Source organism: Homo sapiens, chromosome 5 (assembly GCF_000001405.40).
Source record: "Homo sapiens chromosome 5, GRCh38.p14 Primary Assembly".
Lineage (NCBI taxonomy): Eukaryota > Metazoa > Chordata > Mammalia > Primates > Hominidae > Homo > Homo sapiens.
This window is the reverse complement of record NC_000005.10, coordinates 93,433,179-93,450,247: the sequence shown is the minus strand read 5'-3', so window position 1 is coordinate 93,450,247 and position 17,069 is coordinate 93,433,179. Positions and strand designations below refer to the sequence as shown.

At 37.9% G+C, this 17,069-nt stretch overlaps 1 long non-coding RNA gene across 45 annotated transcripts in view; it reads left to right on the top strand.

Annotated features, from left to right (window-relative positions):
• The window catches only part of NR2F1-AS1 (NR2F1 regulatory antisense RNA 1), a 176,234-nt gene that overhangs the window by 135,342 nt on the left and 23,823 nt on the right, over positions 1–17,069 (top strand). For 21 of the 45 annotated variants that reach the window (NR_186217.1, NR_186215.1, NR_186218.1 and 18 more), the window contains one exon: positions 11,507–11,545. The exons of 19 other annotated variants lie outside the window; for them this stretch is intronic. This is a non-coding gene — a long non-coding RNA (NR2F1 regulatory antisense RNA 1). Of the gene's footprint in view, positions 1–11,506; positions 14,291–17,069 lie in introns of those variants that run through there. 5 more of the 45 variants (NR_186220.1, NR_186219.1, NR_186195.1 and 2 more) reach the window with 1 other exon arrangement.

The window sequence follows — 17,069 nt, the reverse complement described above, 5'->3', positions numbered from 1 at the left end:
GTATAAAATTTGAGAAATGACTTAAAATCAGCTTTGGCCAAATGTGTTTTGGGTTTTGCTAAATTCAGATATTAAAACATTCAGCAAGTGCATGATCCTTATGAAGAAGTCATCCATTTCTAACTTAAAATTCGAGAAAAGAGTTAGAAAATGAACATTCATATTCAGAAGGTGCTTAACAGGTTTCAATATGCTACAAAGCAATTCTTTGAGGCCACTAAAATCTCCTCACAGAACTTCCTAATAGTCTATCAGAACTACCCACTGAAATTTCAAGTTGAAACACTAATCTCCCAGAAATATAGATATGATACATTATCTTTTATTTCTTTTTGGTGTCAAACAGGGATAAGTCATAGGGTCTTTAAAAAGTTACTGTTTCCATTAAGTACCTCCCCTCCAGCTATTTGTTGTTGGTCTTAGTAGGCTGCTCTAATAGGTATTTCCTTGTTAATGCAAGACAATAATCAGTAATGTCAGCAGGCCTTTGGAAGTAGAATTTCTTAACTTGTGTTTACTCTGCTGGATTTGAAAAACAGGAGAAATCTTTGTAATTGTGTAAAAACACTTTTCTTGCCTTTTATAAAGGGTGAGGTTTACAACAGAATTTTAAAATAAAGTAAGATTTATAGTAAATTGTCTATAAATGATTAATTTCTATAATCATAATACTTTGTTATCTCTAAAGTTTTCAAAGGTGAAGAAATATTAGGTTTAGTAAAAATGTAAGAAGGTGAATATTAGGAGCATATATTTAATAAATGGTCTAGTATTGGTATTTTGCAAGATTAAAACATACATTCCTATTGGGTTTTTGGAGTAAAGGAGTAAAGTAAGATGATCTACATTGTTGCTGTATCCAGGCCTTTACTGTTGTAAGAAATGTTGGAGTGTTAGTTGAGGGAAAAAGTATGTATTGGTAAATATAAACTCTACTCATACTAATGAGAGTTTTTGATATGGTCTACTTTATGATGGCTTCAAGAAAAGGATGTAATCTAGCATATAACCCATTATTTTTAAGAGCCCTGGGTAAATTTTAGCCTTTGTCATATATAAACTTGTTTATATATTAGTGTATGTAACTTCGGAGGTACTAATTCTAACATAGAATTCTAGTATTTTAGAGTGTACAATTTCTCCCTTAGATACTTTATATAAACAGTTTTTCAAAATCCTAATTTTTAATCCATCTATGCTGCAACAATAAAAAAACTTTGTAAATATTATTGGTATATGCTTGATCCTTGATACTTGATAGAAAATAAGATTCAAAGCTACCTACCTACTGTGATTATTCATTTTATGTATCAATTTAACTGTACCACAGGGTGCCCAGATATTTGGTCAGACTCAATTCTGGGTGTCTCAGTGAGGGAGTTTCTGGCTGAGATGAGCATTTGAATTGGTAGACTGAGTAAAGCAAGTGGCCCTCCCTGGTGTGGGTGGGCTTCAGCCTGTCAACTGAAGACCTCAATAGAACAAAAAGGCTGAGTAAGAGGGAGCTCCTACCTGACTACTTGAGCTGGAACAGTGGTCTTTTCATGCCTTTGGACTTGAGCTGAAACATCAGTCTTTTTGGGTCTCAAGCCTGCCAGCTTTCAGCTGGCAGCAGATGTTGGGACTTGTCAGCTTCAATAATTATGTGAGCCAATGCTTTATTATGCAAGTACCACACCTAAGCTATCAGGTAGTTATAGAGAGTTGGATTTTGCATATTGTTTTGCATCCCCATCCCTATCAGATGTTTTTGGCTATATCCACTCACAATTGAGGCTAGACAAGGAGAAAGAGCCACGAGACCAGCCATTGTCTTTGTGTGCATTTCATGTTAAATTTTTGAGTATCCTAAAGCTTATTAAAATGCTTTTGATTTTTTTCACACTATCAAACAATTTGACAGGTCTATCTTGTCAGATGATTTGGGACCCCAAGGACAGAAAGGCAGGAAAGCTTATTGGGTTTATTAATTGTTTAACATGAGATTGTGTTATTTTACAAGTTGTGGTGAAATCTGTGTTATAAGTGGGAGTCAGCAAGCATTTTTTTTTTATACTTTAAGTTCTAGGGTACATGTGCACAATGTGCAGGCTTGTTACATAGGTATACATGTGCCATGTTGGTGTGCTGTACCCATTAACTTGTATTTTACATTAGGTATATCTCCTAATGCTATCCCTCCCCCTTCCCTCCACCCCACGACAGGCCCTGGTGTGTGATGTTCCCCACCCTGTGTCCAAGTGTTCTCACTGTCCAATTCCCACCTATGAGTGAGAACATATGGTGTTTGGTTTTCTGTCCTTGCTATAGTTTGCTCAGAATGATGGTTTCCAGCTTCATCCATGTCCCTGCAAAGGACATGAACTCATCCTTTTTTATGGCTGCATAGTATTCCATGGTGTATATGTGCCACCACATTTTCTTAATCCAGACTATCATTGATGGACATTTGGGTTGGCTCCAAGTCTTTGCTATTGTGAATAGTGCCGCAATGTGGGCATGTGTCTTTATAGCAGCATGATTTATAATCTTTGGGTATATACCCATTAATGGGATGGCTGGGTCAAATGGTATATCTAGTTGTAGATCCTTGAGGAATCGCCACACTGTCTTCCACAATGGTTGAACTAGTTTACAGTCCCACCAACAGTGTAAAAGTGTTCCTATTTCTCCACATCCTCTCCAGCACCTGTTGTTTCCTGACTTTTTAATGATTGCCATTCTAACTGGTTTGAGATGGTATCTCATTGTGGTTTTGATTTGCATTTCTCTGATGACCAGTGATGATGAGCATTTTTTCATGTGTCTGTTGGCTGCATAAATGTCTTCTTTTGAGAAGTGTCTGTTCCTATCTTTTGCCCCCTTTTTGATGGGGTTGTTTGATTTTTTTCTTGTAAATTTGTTTAAGTTCTTTGTAGATTCTGGATATTAGCCCTTTGTCAGACGGGTAGATTGTAAAAATGTTCTCCCATTCTGTAGGTTGCCTGTTCACTCTGATGGTAGTTTCTTTTGCTATGCAGAAGCTCTTTAGTTTAATTAGATCTCCTTTGTCAATTTTGGCTTTTGTTGCCATTGCTTTTGGTGTTTTAGTCATGAAGTCCTTGCCCATGCCTATGTCCTGAATGGTATTGCCTAGGTTTTCTTCTAGGGTTTTTATGGTTTTAGGTCTAATATTTAAGTCTTTAATCCATCTTGAATTAATTTTTGTATAAGATGTAAGGAAGGGATCCAGTTTCAGCTTTCTACATATGGCTAGCCAGTTTTCCCAGCACCATTTATTAAATAGGGAATCCTTTCCCTATTTCTTGTTTTTGTCAGGTTTGTCAAAGATCAGATGGTTGTAGATGTGTGGTATTATTTCTGAGGGCCCTGTTCTGTACCATTGGTCTGTATCTCTGTTTTGGTACCAGTACCATGCTGTTTTGAATACTGTAGCCTTGTAGTATAGTTTGAAGTCAGGTAGCGTGATGTCTCCAGCTTTGTTCTTTTGGCTTAGGATTGTCTTGGCAATGTGGGCTCTTTTTTGGTTCCATATAAACTTTAAAGTAGTTTTTTCCAATTCTGTGAAGAAAGTCATTGGTAGATTGATGGGGATAGCATTGAATCTATGAATTACTTTGGGCAGTATGGCCATTTTCACGATATTGATTCTTCCTATCTATGAGCATGGAATGTTCTTCCATTTGTTTGTGTCCTCTTTTATTTCATTGAATAGTGGTTTGTAGTCAAACCTTGAAGAGGTCCTTCACACCCCTTATAAGTTGGATTCCTAGGTATTTTATTCTCTTTGAAGCAATTGCGAATGGGAGTTCACTCATGATTTGGCTCTCTGTTTGTCTGTTATTGGTGTATAGGAATGCTTGTGATTTTTGCACATTGATTTTGTATCCTGAGACTTTGCTGAAGTTACTTATCAGCTTAAGGAGATTTTGGGCTGAGACGATGGGGTTTTCTAAATATATAATCATGTCATCTGCAAACAGGGACAATTTGACTTCCTCTTTTCCTAATTGAATACCCTTTATTTCTTCCTCCTCCCTGATTGCCATGGCCAGAACTTCCAACACTTCATTGAATAGGAGTGGTGAGAGAGGGCATCCCTGTCTTATGCCAGTTTTCCAAGGGAATGCTTCCAGTTTTTTCCCATTCAGTATGATATTGGCTGTGGGTTTGTCATAAACAGCTCTTATTATTTTGATGTACGTCCCGTCAATACCTAGTTTATTGAGAGTTTTTAGGATGAAGGGCTGTTGAATTTTGTTGAAGACCTTTTCTGCATCTATTGAGATAATCATGTGGTTTTTATCTTTGGTTCTGTTTATATGATGGATTACATGTATTGATTTGCATATGTTGAACCAGCCTTGCATCCCAGGGATGAAGCCCACTTGATCATGGTGGATAAGCTTTTTGATGTGCTGCTGGATTCAGTTTGCCAGTATTTTATTGAGGATTTTTGCATTGATGTTCATCAGGGATATTGGTCTAAAATTCTCTTTTTTTGTTGTGTCTCTGCCAGGCTTTGGTATCAGGATGATGCTGGCCTCATAAAATGAGTTAGGGAGGATTCCCTCTTTTTATATTGGTTGGAATACTTTCAGAAGGAATGGTACCAGCTCCTCTTTGTACCTCTGGTAGAATTCGGCTGTGAATCTGTCTGGTCTTGGATTTTTTTTTTTGATTGGTAGGCTATTAATTATTGCCTCAATTTCAGAGCCTGTTGTTGGTCTATTCAGGGATTCAACTTCTTCCTGGTTTAGTCTTGGGAGGGTGTATGTGTCCAGGAATTTATCCATTTCTTCTAGATTTTCTAGTTTATTTGCGTAGAGGTGTTTGTAGTATTCTCTGATGGTAGTTTGTATTTCTGTGGGATCGGTGGTGATACCCCCTTTATAATTTTTTATTGTGTCTATTTGATTCTTTCTTTTCTCTTTATTAGTCTTGCTAGTTGTCTATCAATTTTGTTGATCCTTTCAAAAAACCAACTCCTGGATTCATTGATATTTTGAAGGGTTTTTTGTGTCTCTATCTCCTTCAGTTCTGCTCTGATCTTAGTTATTTCTTGCCGTCTGCTAGCTTTTGAATGTGTTTGCTCTTGCTTCTCTAGTTCTTTTAATTATGATGTTAGGGTGTCAATTTTAGATCTTTCCTGCTTCCTCTTGTTGGTATTTAGTGATATAATTTTCCCTCTACAGATTGCTTTAAAAGTGTCCCAGAGATTCTGGTATGTTTTGTCTTTGTTCTTATTGGTTTCAAAGAACATCTTTATTTCTGCCTTCATTTTGTTATGTACCCAATAGTCATTCAGGAGCACATTGTTTAGTTTCCATGTAGTTGAGCAGTTTTGAGTGAGTTTCTTAATCCTCAATTCCAGTTTGATTGCACTGTGGTCTGAGAGACAGTTTGTTATAATTTCTGTTCTTTTACATTTTCTGAGGAGTGCTTTACTTCCAACTATGTGGTCAATTTTGGTATAAGTGCGATGTGGTGCTGAGAAGAATGTATATTCTGTTGATTTGGGGTGGAGAGTTCTGTAGATGTCTATTAGGTCTGCTTGGTGCAGAGCTGAGTTCAATTCCTGGATATCCTTGTTAACTTTCTGTCTCATTGATCTGTCTAATGTTGACAGTGAGATGTTAAAGTCTCCCATTATTTTTGTGTGGGAGTGTACATCTCTTTGTAGGTCTCTAAGGACTTACTTTATGAATCTGGGTGCTCCTCTGTTGGGTGCATATATATTTAGGATAGTTAGCGCTTCTTGTCGAATTGATCCCTTTACAATTATATAATGGCCTTGTTTGTCTCTTTTGGTCTTAGTTGGTTTAAAGTCTGTTTGATCAGAGACTAGGATTGCAACCCCTGCTTTTTTTGTTTTCCATTTGCTTGGTAGATCTTCCTCCATCCCTTTATTTTGAGCCTGTGTGTGTCTCTGCACCTGAGATGAGTCTCCTGAATACAGCACACTGATGGATCTTAACTCTTTATCCAATTTGCCAGTCTGTGTCTTTTAACTGGAGCATTTAGCCCATTTACATTTAAGGTTAATATTGTTATGTGTGAATTTGATCCCATCATTATGATGTTAGCTGGTTATTTTGCTCACTAGTTGATGCAGTTTCTTCCTAGCATTGATGGTCTTTACAATTTGTCATGTTTTTGCAGTGGCTGGTACCGGTTGTGCCTTTCCATGTTTAGTGCTTCCTTCAGGAGCTCTTTTAGGGCAGGCCTGGTGGTGACAAAATCTCTCAGCATTTGCTTGTCTGTAAAGGATTTTATTTCTCCTTCACTTATGAAACTTAGTTTGGCTGGATATGAACTTCTGGGTTGAAAATTGTTTCCCTTAAGAATGTTGAATATTGGCCCCCACTCTCTTCTGGCTTGTAGAGTTTCTGCCAAGAGATCTGCTGTTAGTCTGATGGGCTTGCCTTTGTGGGTAACCCAACCTTTCTTTCTGGTTGCCCTTAATATTTTTTCCTTCATTTCAACTTTGGTGAATCTGACAATTATGTGTCTTGGAGTTGCTCTTCTCGAGGAATATCTTTGTGGTGTTCTTTGTATTTCCTGAATTTGAATATTGGCCTGTCTTTCTAGATTGGGGAAGTTCTCCTGGATAATATCCTGAAGCATGTTTTCCAACTTGGTTCCATTCCCCTCATCACTTTAAGGTATACCAGTCAGATGTAGATTTGGTCTTTTCATATAGTCCCATATTTCTTGGAGGCTTTGTTCTTTTCTTTTTACTCTTTTTTTCTCTAAACTTCTCTTCTCACTTCATTTCATTCATTTAATCTTCAATCACTGATACCCTTTCTTCCACTTGAACGAATCGGCTACAGAAGCTTGTACATGCGTCCCGTAATTCTCGCGCCATGGTTTTCAGCTCCATCAGGTCATTTAGGGTCTTCTCTATGCTGTTTATTCTAGTTAGCCATTTGTCTAATCGTTTTTCAAGGTTTTTAGCTTCTTTGTGATGGGTTCAAACATCATACTTTAGCTCAGAGAAGTTTGTGATTACTGATCATCTGAAGCCTTCTTCTCTCAACTCGTCAAAGTCATTCTCCATGCAGCTTTGTTCCATTGCTGGTGAGGAGCTGCATTCCTTTGGAAGAGAAGAGGCACTCTGATTTTTAGAATTTTCAGCTTTTCTGCTCTGGTTTCTCCTCATCTTTGTGGTTTTATCTACCTTTGGTCTTTGATGATGGTGATGTACAGATGGGGTTTTGGTGTGGACGTCCTTTCTGTTTGTTAGTTTTCCTTCTAACAGTGAGGACCCTCAGCTGCAGGTCTGTTGGAGTTTGCTGGAGGTCCACTCCAGACCCTGTTTGCCTGGGTATCACCAGCAGAGGCTGCAGAGCAGCAAATATTGCAAAACGGCAAATGTTGCTGCCTGATCCTTCCTCTGGAAGCTTTGTCTCAGAGGGGCATCTGGCTGTATGAGGTGTCAGTCGGCCCCTACTGGGAGGTGTCTCCCAGTTAGGCTACTCAGGGGTCAGGGACCCACTTCAGGAGGCAGTCTGTCCATTCTCAGATCTCAAACTCTGTGCTGGGAGAAGCACTGCTCTCTTCAAATCTGTCAGACAGGGACGTTTAAGTGTACACAAGTTTCTGCTGCCTTTTATTCAGCTATGCCCTACCCCCAGAGGTGGAGTCTACATAGGCAGGCAGGCCTCCTTGAGCTGTGGTGGGCTCCACCCAGTTTGAGCTTCCCAGCCACTTTGTTTACCTACTCAAGCCTCAGCAATGTCGGGTGCCCCTCCCCCAGCCTCACTGCTGCCTTGCAGTTTGATCTCAGACTGCTGTGCTAGCAGTCAGCAAGGCTCCATGGGCGTGGGACCCTCCGAGCCAGGTGCAGGATATAATCTCCTGGTGTGCCATTTGCTAAGACCATTGGAAAAGCACAGTATTAGGGTGAGGGTGTCCCGATTTTCCAGGTACCGTCTGTCATGGCTTCCCTTGGCTAGGAAAGGGAATTGCCCAACCCCTTGCGCTTCCTGGGTGAGGTGATGCCCCGCCCTGCTTCAGCTCACACTCTGTGGGCTGCACCCACTGTCCGACAAGCCCCAGTGAGATGAACCTGGCACCTCAGTTGGAAATGCAGAAGTCACCCATCTTTTGTGTTGCTCACGCTGGGAGCTGTAGACTGGAGCTGTTCCTATTTGGCCATCTTGGAACCCCCAGCTAGCAAGCATTTTCTATAAAGGGCCAGAGAGTAAATATTTTAGGTTTTGTGGGTCATGCAGTCTCTGTTATAACTGTCATTACTCTTTCTCCTACTCAGCTCTGTCATTGTACCACAGAAGTAGTCATAAGTGTGCTGTATTCCAATGAAACTTTATTTACAAAAACAGGCATTGAGTAGTTTGCCCTGCAGGCTGTACTTTGCTAACTTCTTAGGGAGAATCTTACAAAATTATGACTGCCTTCTGTTGAGCATCTACACATGGTATATAATGTTACAGGCACATTGGATTGTTTTTTAACTAATTTTTATGACAAAGAGGAAGCCAAGGCTCAGGAAGCTTTAAAGTTGCAGAGTCATTCCTAGAACATGGATTTATCTCCACAGTGATGTTATACTTATTCTTACTCTGAAGTAGAATGCTCTACAAGTTTAAGAACTTTGTTTTCCATATCTAAAAGAACTTGGTTATAAAGTTGAGCTACCTTGATCTTTCTGAAATCATTTCATTTCAGATAGTGGCCAAAGAAAACTCTGACAATTTAAACTGGGGGCAACCGACTAATGACCTCCAGGCCACCAGAATTTCCCTCAGCTGTTTGCACTGTTGGGATCACAGACATTCTTGAAACCTGCCATGGTACATCAGTTGACTTGAAGGTCTCTCTTCTTTGACTTTTTTGAGGTGCTATGTTGATCACTCTAGGTAAGGTATTGGAAGAAAGCTTAGCAGCATTCTAAGCTTCTCTTTCCAAAATTCAGAACCAGAGGCCAGAAGTACCTCAGGTCTTTGGAAAGGATAGTGGGCAAAGATAAAGGTCTTTGATGCTAAAAAGTTAATGAACAAGTTGTCCAGTTTAGCTGTCATCCTATCTTCACCATCTTCGTTCTTCTGGCCTGGAAACAAACTTGATTTATGTAGAGATTACATTCAACTCTGCCTTACATGAAAAAGATGATTAATTTCTATAATCACAATACTTTATGTTATCTCTAAAGTTTTCAAAGGTGAAGAAATATTAGGTTTAGTAAAAATGTAAGAAGGTGAATATTAGCAGCATATAGTTAATAAATGGTCTAGTATTTGTATTTTGGAAGTTTAAGACACATTTTCCTATTGGGTTTTTGGAGTAAAGGAGTAAAGTAAGATGATCTACATTGTTGCTGTATACAGGCCTTTCCAGTTGTAAGAAATGTTTGGAGGCTTAGATGAGATAAAAAGAATATATTTGAAAAAATGCATTTATTTTTCCTCATGAAAGCTGGTAGTGCTGAAACTGCAAACCTAGGACTAGGAAGGCTGTTGAAATTAGGGAAAACATCAGTGACATGGCATGTCAGTGTGTGTATTAAAGTGCTTCAGAAAAACAGAACCAATAAGATGTAGATATCTTCAGAAACAGAGTGAGTGAGTGAGTGAGAGATTTACTATAAAAAACTGGCTTACTTGATTGTGGAGTCTGAGAAACCCAGACTAGGGAGAGCTCGTGGTATAGTTCCAGCTGGAGTCTGAAGGTCTGAGAACCAAGAGAGCCAATAGTGTAAGTTCCAGTCTTGTACAAGTCTGAAGGCGGGAGAAACCAGTGTCCTAGTTTGAAGACAAGTAGAGAGAAAGAATTCCTTCTTACTCAGTCTTTAATTCTATTCAGGCCTTCAATGGGTTGCTCAACGCCCATCCACATTGGAGAGACCAATCTGCTTTACTCAGTCTACTGATTCAAAAGTTAATCTCATCTAGAAATATCCTTGGAGACATACCCAGTAACAATGTTTAATCAAGTTTCTGGGCACCCCATGGCCCAGTCAAGTTGATACATAAAATTAACTTTCTCTGTGTGTGTGTGTGTGTGAGAGAGAGAGAGAGAGAGAGAGAGACAGAGAGAGAGAGCGAGCGAGAGAAAGAGGATTGAGGGAGAGAGAGAATGTGGGTGGAGATAAGAAAAACTCCACAGCCTAAACTTTCCTTCTCCTCCTTTTTAAAAAGATTGTAATTCCCTTTTTTACTTTCCAAAGACTTATCTGATTATTTATCTGTTTATAATGAATAATTACTGATTGGGTGTCTATTATGTGCTAGGCATGATGCTACCACTGGGGATAAAATAATGAGTTAGACACATTGTCTTCAAGGAGGTTACTGTCTAGTTGGGGAGATAAGCAAATATATCATTTAAATACTGTGTACTAAATGCTGAAACATGATGAGCAAGTATTAAATGCTAAGAGAATTCATAGGAAAGACATCCAATGCTACTTTGAGAGTCAGAGGAGCCTTCCTGGAGGAGATAAAATTTAAGCTAAGTAATGAAGAGGGGCTTAATCAGACAAAAAGCCAAGAAAATCTGTTCAAGGCAGAGAAAACATCATGGATGAGAGATGAGGATGGAGGCTTGGTCTGAACTTTCCCCATTCCATCTACATGATTCAACTGATTTGAGCATTTTTTAACATCAGACATTTTAAAAGAAAAGCCTTGGCCGGGCGCAGTGGCTCACGCCTGTAATCCCAGCACTTTGGGAGGCCGAGGCGGGTGGATCACGAGGTCAGGAGATCGAGACCATCCTGGCTAACACAGTGAAACCCCGTCTCTACTAAAAATACAAAAAATTAGCCGGGCGAGGTAGCGGGCACCTGTAGTCCCAGCTACTTGGGAGGCTGAGGCAGGAGAATGGCGTGAACCCCGGGGGGCGGAGCCTGCAGTGAGCCGAGATCGCGCCACTCCACTCCAGCCTGGGTGACAGCGAGACTCCGTCTCAAAAAAAAGAAAAAAGCCTTTTTATTGGGTGCCATGAACTAAAAGGAAAAGATGTGGCACTAATTGTCCATTCAAAAATCTAATAACAAGAAAGTAATATTGCTTACAGATGGCACATTCTCTTCATCAGAATAAATGTGGCTGGCAGTGAGTAAAGTAATAATGGTCCTTCTTGGCTATGTTAGGTCAATTTTTGGTTACCAGTTCTAACAGAGGAAGTCATTGAGTTTAGTCAGATTCAAATCTTTTTTCCCTGCTTTACTGAGGTATAATTGACAAATAAAAATTGTATATATTTAAGGTATACAACATGATGCTTTGATATATGTTTACATTGTGGAATGATTATTACAATTGAGGTAGTTTACATATTCATCACCTTACATAATAACCATCAAATCTTTTTATGAATAAGGAAGAAAGGAACTCTGGCAGTTCCACTAAGGTTCAGCTCTCTTAGAGTGCTCCTTCTAGGCCATAGCACCCAGCTTATCCTTTTTCTCCCAAGTCTTTTATGTTAGAAGTGGGACTAATCTCTTGTTTTCTCCTCTTCCACCTCCTTTCCCCCTCAGGTGAAACAGTCGCAAATGGAATTCCAAGAAACATTCTATGTAAGTCCTGGCTTTGAAATACTTTGTCATCCTAAGAAGCTTGGACTTTATCCTGTCAAAGAAATGACAAATCAGATCATTCCAGCTGCAGTATGGAGAATAGAGTGAAGTGGGGTAACACTGGTTTAGTGGCACAAATTAAGCATCTACGTAAGAGAGGATAATGACCTGAACTAGGGTTAAAGTAGTGGGGATGGAGATAAATAGATAGTTTGAGAGAAATTAAGCAGATAGAATGACTAGGACTTGGCAGTTGACTGGATATGGTGGGCCTGGTGAATGAGAGGCAGGAGTCAAGATTGATGGTCAGGTTTCTGACTTGGGCAGTGGGTATATAGTGATGCTTGTACGAAGATTGAGAAAGTAAAAGGGAAAGTAAATATCAAGCAGTTTCAAGCAGCAGTCAGCTGCTGGGCTGGCTCACCACACTTCTGTAGATTCCGTTGAAAAGGAGACAATGAGCCTAGATAGATTTAGACAGTTTATTACTCAAAGCAAAGTAGGCAGCATGATCTTCATGCATCTATGAATTCCCCAAATCCCATGATACAGAGTGAGGCCCAGACAGATGCTGTGTACACGGTGGACCTGTGTCCTCCCAATCTTATAAGAGGCTACTTGCAAACTTGCCCAAAATCATTGTCCTGGAGGTTGACATTATCTTTGTTATGCTGGTCAGGAAACAAATGTACCCTCTAACCCAGAAGCATATCCTGTCTTTACTCAGAGACAAATAAAAACACCATGGACAATTACCTTTCAACAGTAAGAGAATGCTTTCCATTTTGGACATAATGAATTTGAAATGCCCATGATATCTAAATAAAGGTATTCAGTAGATAATAAGCTGTTTTGAAGGAATATTTGGTATAGTGTTTATAGAAATGAGATAATAAAACAATAAAATATATAAACTTTGGCTATGTTAATAACGTGATAGTTGCTTGTAAGATAGTTACAGCAGGTGGTTACTGTGTTGCCTAATTAAACATCATGATAGAATCTTAATATGTGTAAAATTTATAATTTTATTCATCACAAACTGAATTCACCTAGGCTTAGTCCTCTGCTGCTTTTGAGGTTTGATGATCTGCTAACAATCTCAGAAAATGAGAGAGTTGTGTGGTGGCAGTATATTTATAACACACTATGGAACTGGCCTTATAACTGTGACTTTTGCCTGCTTTTAGTCCAGACCAGCCCTCTTCAATAGAAATAAGATAAATGCAAACATCAAATGTGAGCCACATACATAATTTAAAAATTTCTAGTAGCCACATTAAAAAACCTAAAAGGAAGCAAGTGAAATTAATTTTTATAATATACTTTAACCCAATATATCGAAATATTGTTTCAACATGTAATCAACATAAAATTATTAGTGAGATATTTTACATTTTTTTCATGCTAAATCTTTGAAATCCGGTGTGTATCTTACATTTACGGCTTATCTCAATTTGGACTTGACACATTGCAAGTGCTCAATAGCTATGTGTAGCTATTGACTACTATTTTGGACAGTGCAATTCTAGACCTCAAGAACAAGAAGTTATATTTTATCATGTATGATGAATATAGTTTTTCTTTGTATGTTAGAGGACTAAATACTGTGGTATGTTTTTTATCTTAAACAATTGAATACCAAGAATAGCTAACATTATAATGAAAAAACAAATGGTCAGTGAATTTACATGGTATTTAATTTTTTTTTTTTTTTGGAGATAATGAGTTTCACTTAAAATCAGCTAGGTATTACTGTGTCTAATATAGGCATCTTGGAAGGTAAATTAGGGCTGTAGGTTGTATCATTAGGTCCTTGAGTGTAAACCTCTCCAGGATTTCACTAAGTGGACCAGGTAGTCAGGTGATTTAAATTATAATTAATGTTCATCCTTTACCCTTGGGAATATATTACGTGTTGGTAGAATTTGTTCCATTATTTTATATAATGAGGTGCCTCATAATTTTGTGGCTTGTGAACAAATGTTCACATTTGTGAACTTATTTACCATGTTGACAAATGTATTGGCTTTATAGTACAGAAGCATCTCAAAAACCTAAAAGATTTCTGTTAAGTAATTTAATGAAAAACAGACATTGATGGGAAAAGTCAGCCATCCTAGTGCCCTCAATACAGCAGTTGGAAATAATATACTTTTGAATGTCTGAAATATGTTAGTGGTTTTAGAAAAAGACTAGGTAAGTCATTTGAGAAACTTAAGAAGACCTAAGAAACTGGCAATACATGGTAATAGCTTACTGAGTTTGCTTTGGGTAAACTCAGTAAGTCATGGAACTTGCTATGCATTTTGGTGGGGATACCTTTAATTCTAATTGGTGAAATGCAGTCACTTTGAATTGTATGTTGAGGGAATGTTCTCAGGGAAAAGTGAGTTTCTGTGTTGAATGACTAAGTGAAAGCACTTGACTATTTGTAAAGCCTGTGGGTATCTCTTTGATGTTGATTATTATCTGTGATTGTTTGTTGAGGGTTTTCTGTTTGTTTTTTAAAACACTTGGGAAAAGCAAATGGTGAGTGTTACAATTTAAACAGATTTTCTTTTAGAGAATGTTCTGTAGGAAAAGACAAATAGTTCTACTTGATCCTTGTTTGTTGATGCTTTTATTTGATTTCATATTTATTGATACAAACAGCTTTAAACATTAGATTAATTCTATAATAAAGTGATACAGAAGTGGATGTGTTATGGGGAATAGTATTGAATAAAGAAGACAGAAGCAGTAGGGTGGGTAACATCTACTTTGTTTTCATGACCCAGAAGGACTGTGTGTGTACCAGTAGGCACTTTATGGAGTTTGTCAATCCACTATGGTAAAATAATCCAACAAAGGTTAATGCCATGTTTGTGACTTAACCATTGATGGGTTAAACCAATTGTCTTGCTTTGGGATGAAACCTTGGAAATGAAGGGGTTATCATCAAAGGAGTTTTACTACAATAAAGTAGTCAAAGAAGGCCTACCTGAGAAGAGGATGATAGAACTATGACTTGAAGGAAATGGGGGAGCGAGCCCTGATGGGGCATCAGGAGGGGCATTCCAGGCAGAGGGTATGGTGGGTGCCAAGCCCTACTGCAGGAGCATACCCAGTAGTTTGCAGGAACAGTGTGGTGACCAAGTGGCCACAGAAGCAAAGGGGCTACTATCATTTATTGTCTTCTCTATTTTCTAGGTACTATTTATACAAACTTGAAATGAGGCAAATTGGGGAAAAAGTGTTATAGTGGAACAATCTATTTTAAACTTTTAAAAGCATTGCTTGGAAATAAATCAGAAAACAAATAAAGTGATAATACAGCTCCAATTATGATGGGACATGTCAGAAAACCATGGAAGTCTGATAGATCAAAGGGCTTCTCACTGGCCAAACTCAGACAATTTGAGTTTCAAAATAATGAGAATAATGATTTCAACCCATTAAATAAAAATAAAAAAATCATGAGTTCACACTTAAACAAACAAGGGAGTAGGATACTAACTGATAAATGTAGGAGGAATGATAATATTAGAAAATCACCATTTTGCAACCACTATAGCAATTAAACAAATTATCAGTGGATGCTAAACCAGTGAATGAGAATCTGATGAGGACCAGCATATTTACAAGATCTTAAAAAGCATCTACCCGTAAGTTACTTTTTACTTACAAAGCATAAAATAGGTTTTAATTACAAAGAACTTTATAGTGGAGTAACCAGGTAGATACCACCTTAACAACTTAAGTAATCAGAATTAACATTGCCAATAATTGGACAAACCAATATCATGTACTTCCTGATGTGATTCACTGAGAAGAACACAACATCATTTATATAATATTGCTGTCCAAAATATGTAACCTAAATCTAATTATAAAAAAAATTAGACAAGCCCAAATTGGGGGATTTTTACAAAGGAAATTGCATGTACTATTTACAAAGGTCAATGTTGTGAAAGACAATGAAAGGATGATTCTGGACCAGAAAAACAAAAATTGCCATACAGCACATTTTGGGGACAATTGGAAAAATTCAAATAAGTTCTACATATTACATTAGATAATAGCATTATGTCAATATTAAATTTCCTGATTTTGATTATTGTAGTTTGACCCTGTAAGTGAATATCTTTTTTCTTGGGAAAGTCACACAGAACTGCTTACAGGTAATGAAACATGGTATCTGCAATTTACTTTCAAACAATTTAGAGAAAAAAGTTATACATAGAGAAGAGAGGGGGAAGGGGAAGGGCAAGAAAGAATGATACAGCAATTGTGGCAAAATGTTAACAATGTGGGTCAAACACAAACAGGAGTTCTTTATACGATGCCTGAAACTCTTCTGTAAGTTTAAAATTATTTGAAAATAAAAAGTTGAAAACAAAAAGTGATAGTGGGCTGGATGAATTGGGCCTGGAACTCTCCTTCTGTTTGGTGCCCCACTTCATCCATTTTCTTCTAAGAAGGACCCTGAGGCACCCCTGAATATAATTTGAAGATCACTGCACTAAACTGATCATCCCTTCTAGCAATGAAAAAAAGGCAAAAGCCAATAGTTTTATAGGTAATAAGAAAGGACACACTAATGTTTCATTAGCTGTAAGAAGAGACTACTTGTCCTTTTAAATATTGCTAATGTGCAGATATTATTGGTAAATATTGATAGACGCTAAAAAAAGAGCATATGGGAAAAAAAGAGCATATGGAAAAAAAATAAGGCAAAGTCTACACTTGGCCTGAGGGCTCTGGGAATTGTGAGGGAGGCTGCGTGTAGGTCATTAGGAAGAAATTCAAGTAGAGGCAATAAATTTTACTTTTGGTAAAAGTAAATACGTGCAACTGAAATGAGGCATAGGAAGGAGTGAAGTGTGGAAATTCTGATCAGCATAATTATTTAAGTTTATAATCATAGTTAAGGATGGCTCCTCTCACTAAATGACAAGGTCATAGTGACTTTTAAAACTAGAGGACAGATAAAAAATGATTCAGAATAGACAAGGAAGCAGTCAAAAGCATTGAGCAATGTCAAAAGCATCCTACTTCAGGCCACTTTAACACTTGTACTGAGTCAGTACCATCTCTATACAGTCATGTGCTACATAATGTCATAGGTTTGTATAAGTCCATCCTGTGATGTTCACATAATGATGAAATTGCCTGACAATGCATTTCTCAGAACATATCCCTGTTGTTAAGCAATGTATGACTGTACTTGGAGATAGCATTCATTACGTCAAAAGAGAGGAACCCTGCCTGAGCCAGGTATCATTTCTTTGTTTCTTAGAGTTAACAACATAATCTCCAGTCAGTGTAGTACTTTGAGAAGAACAGAATTTGAAGGTCTAGAAAACAATGTGGAACTACTGGAATTATGGGATTATCATGGGCATGTAAATAGCATATAGATTGTTTTAGGCTGGCTACAAGGGAATTCTAGTTTCCTTAAAGGAGAAAACCCAACAACGAAGAAGAAAATAAATTATCTTTTGACCTAATTCATGTGCGAAATACTAAAACTTTATATCTC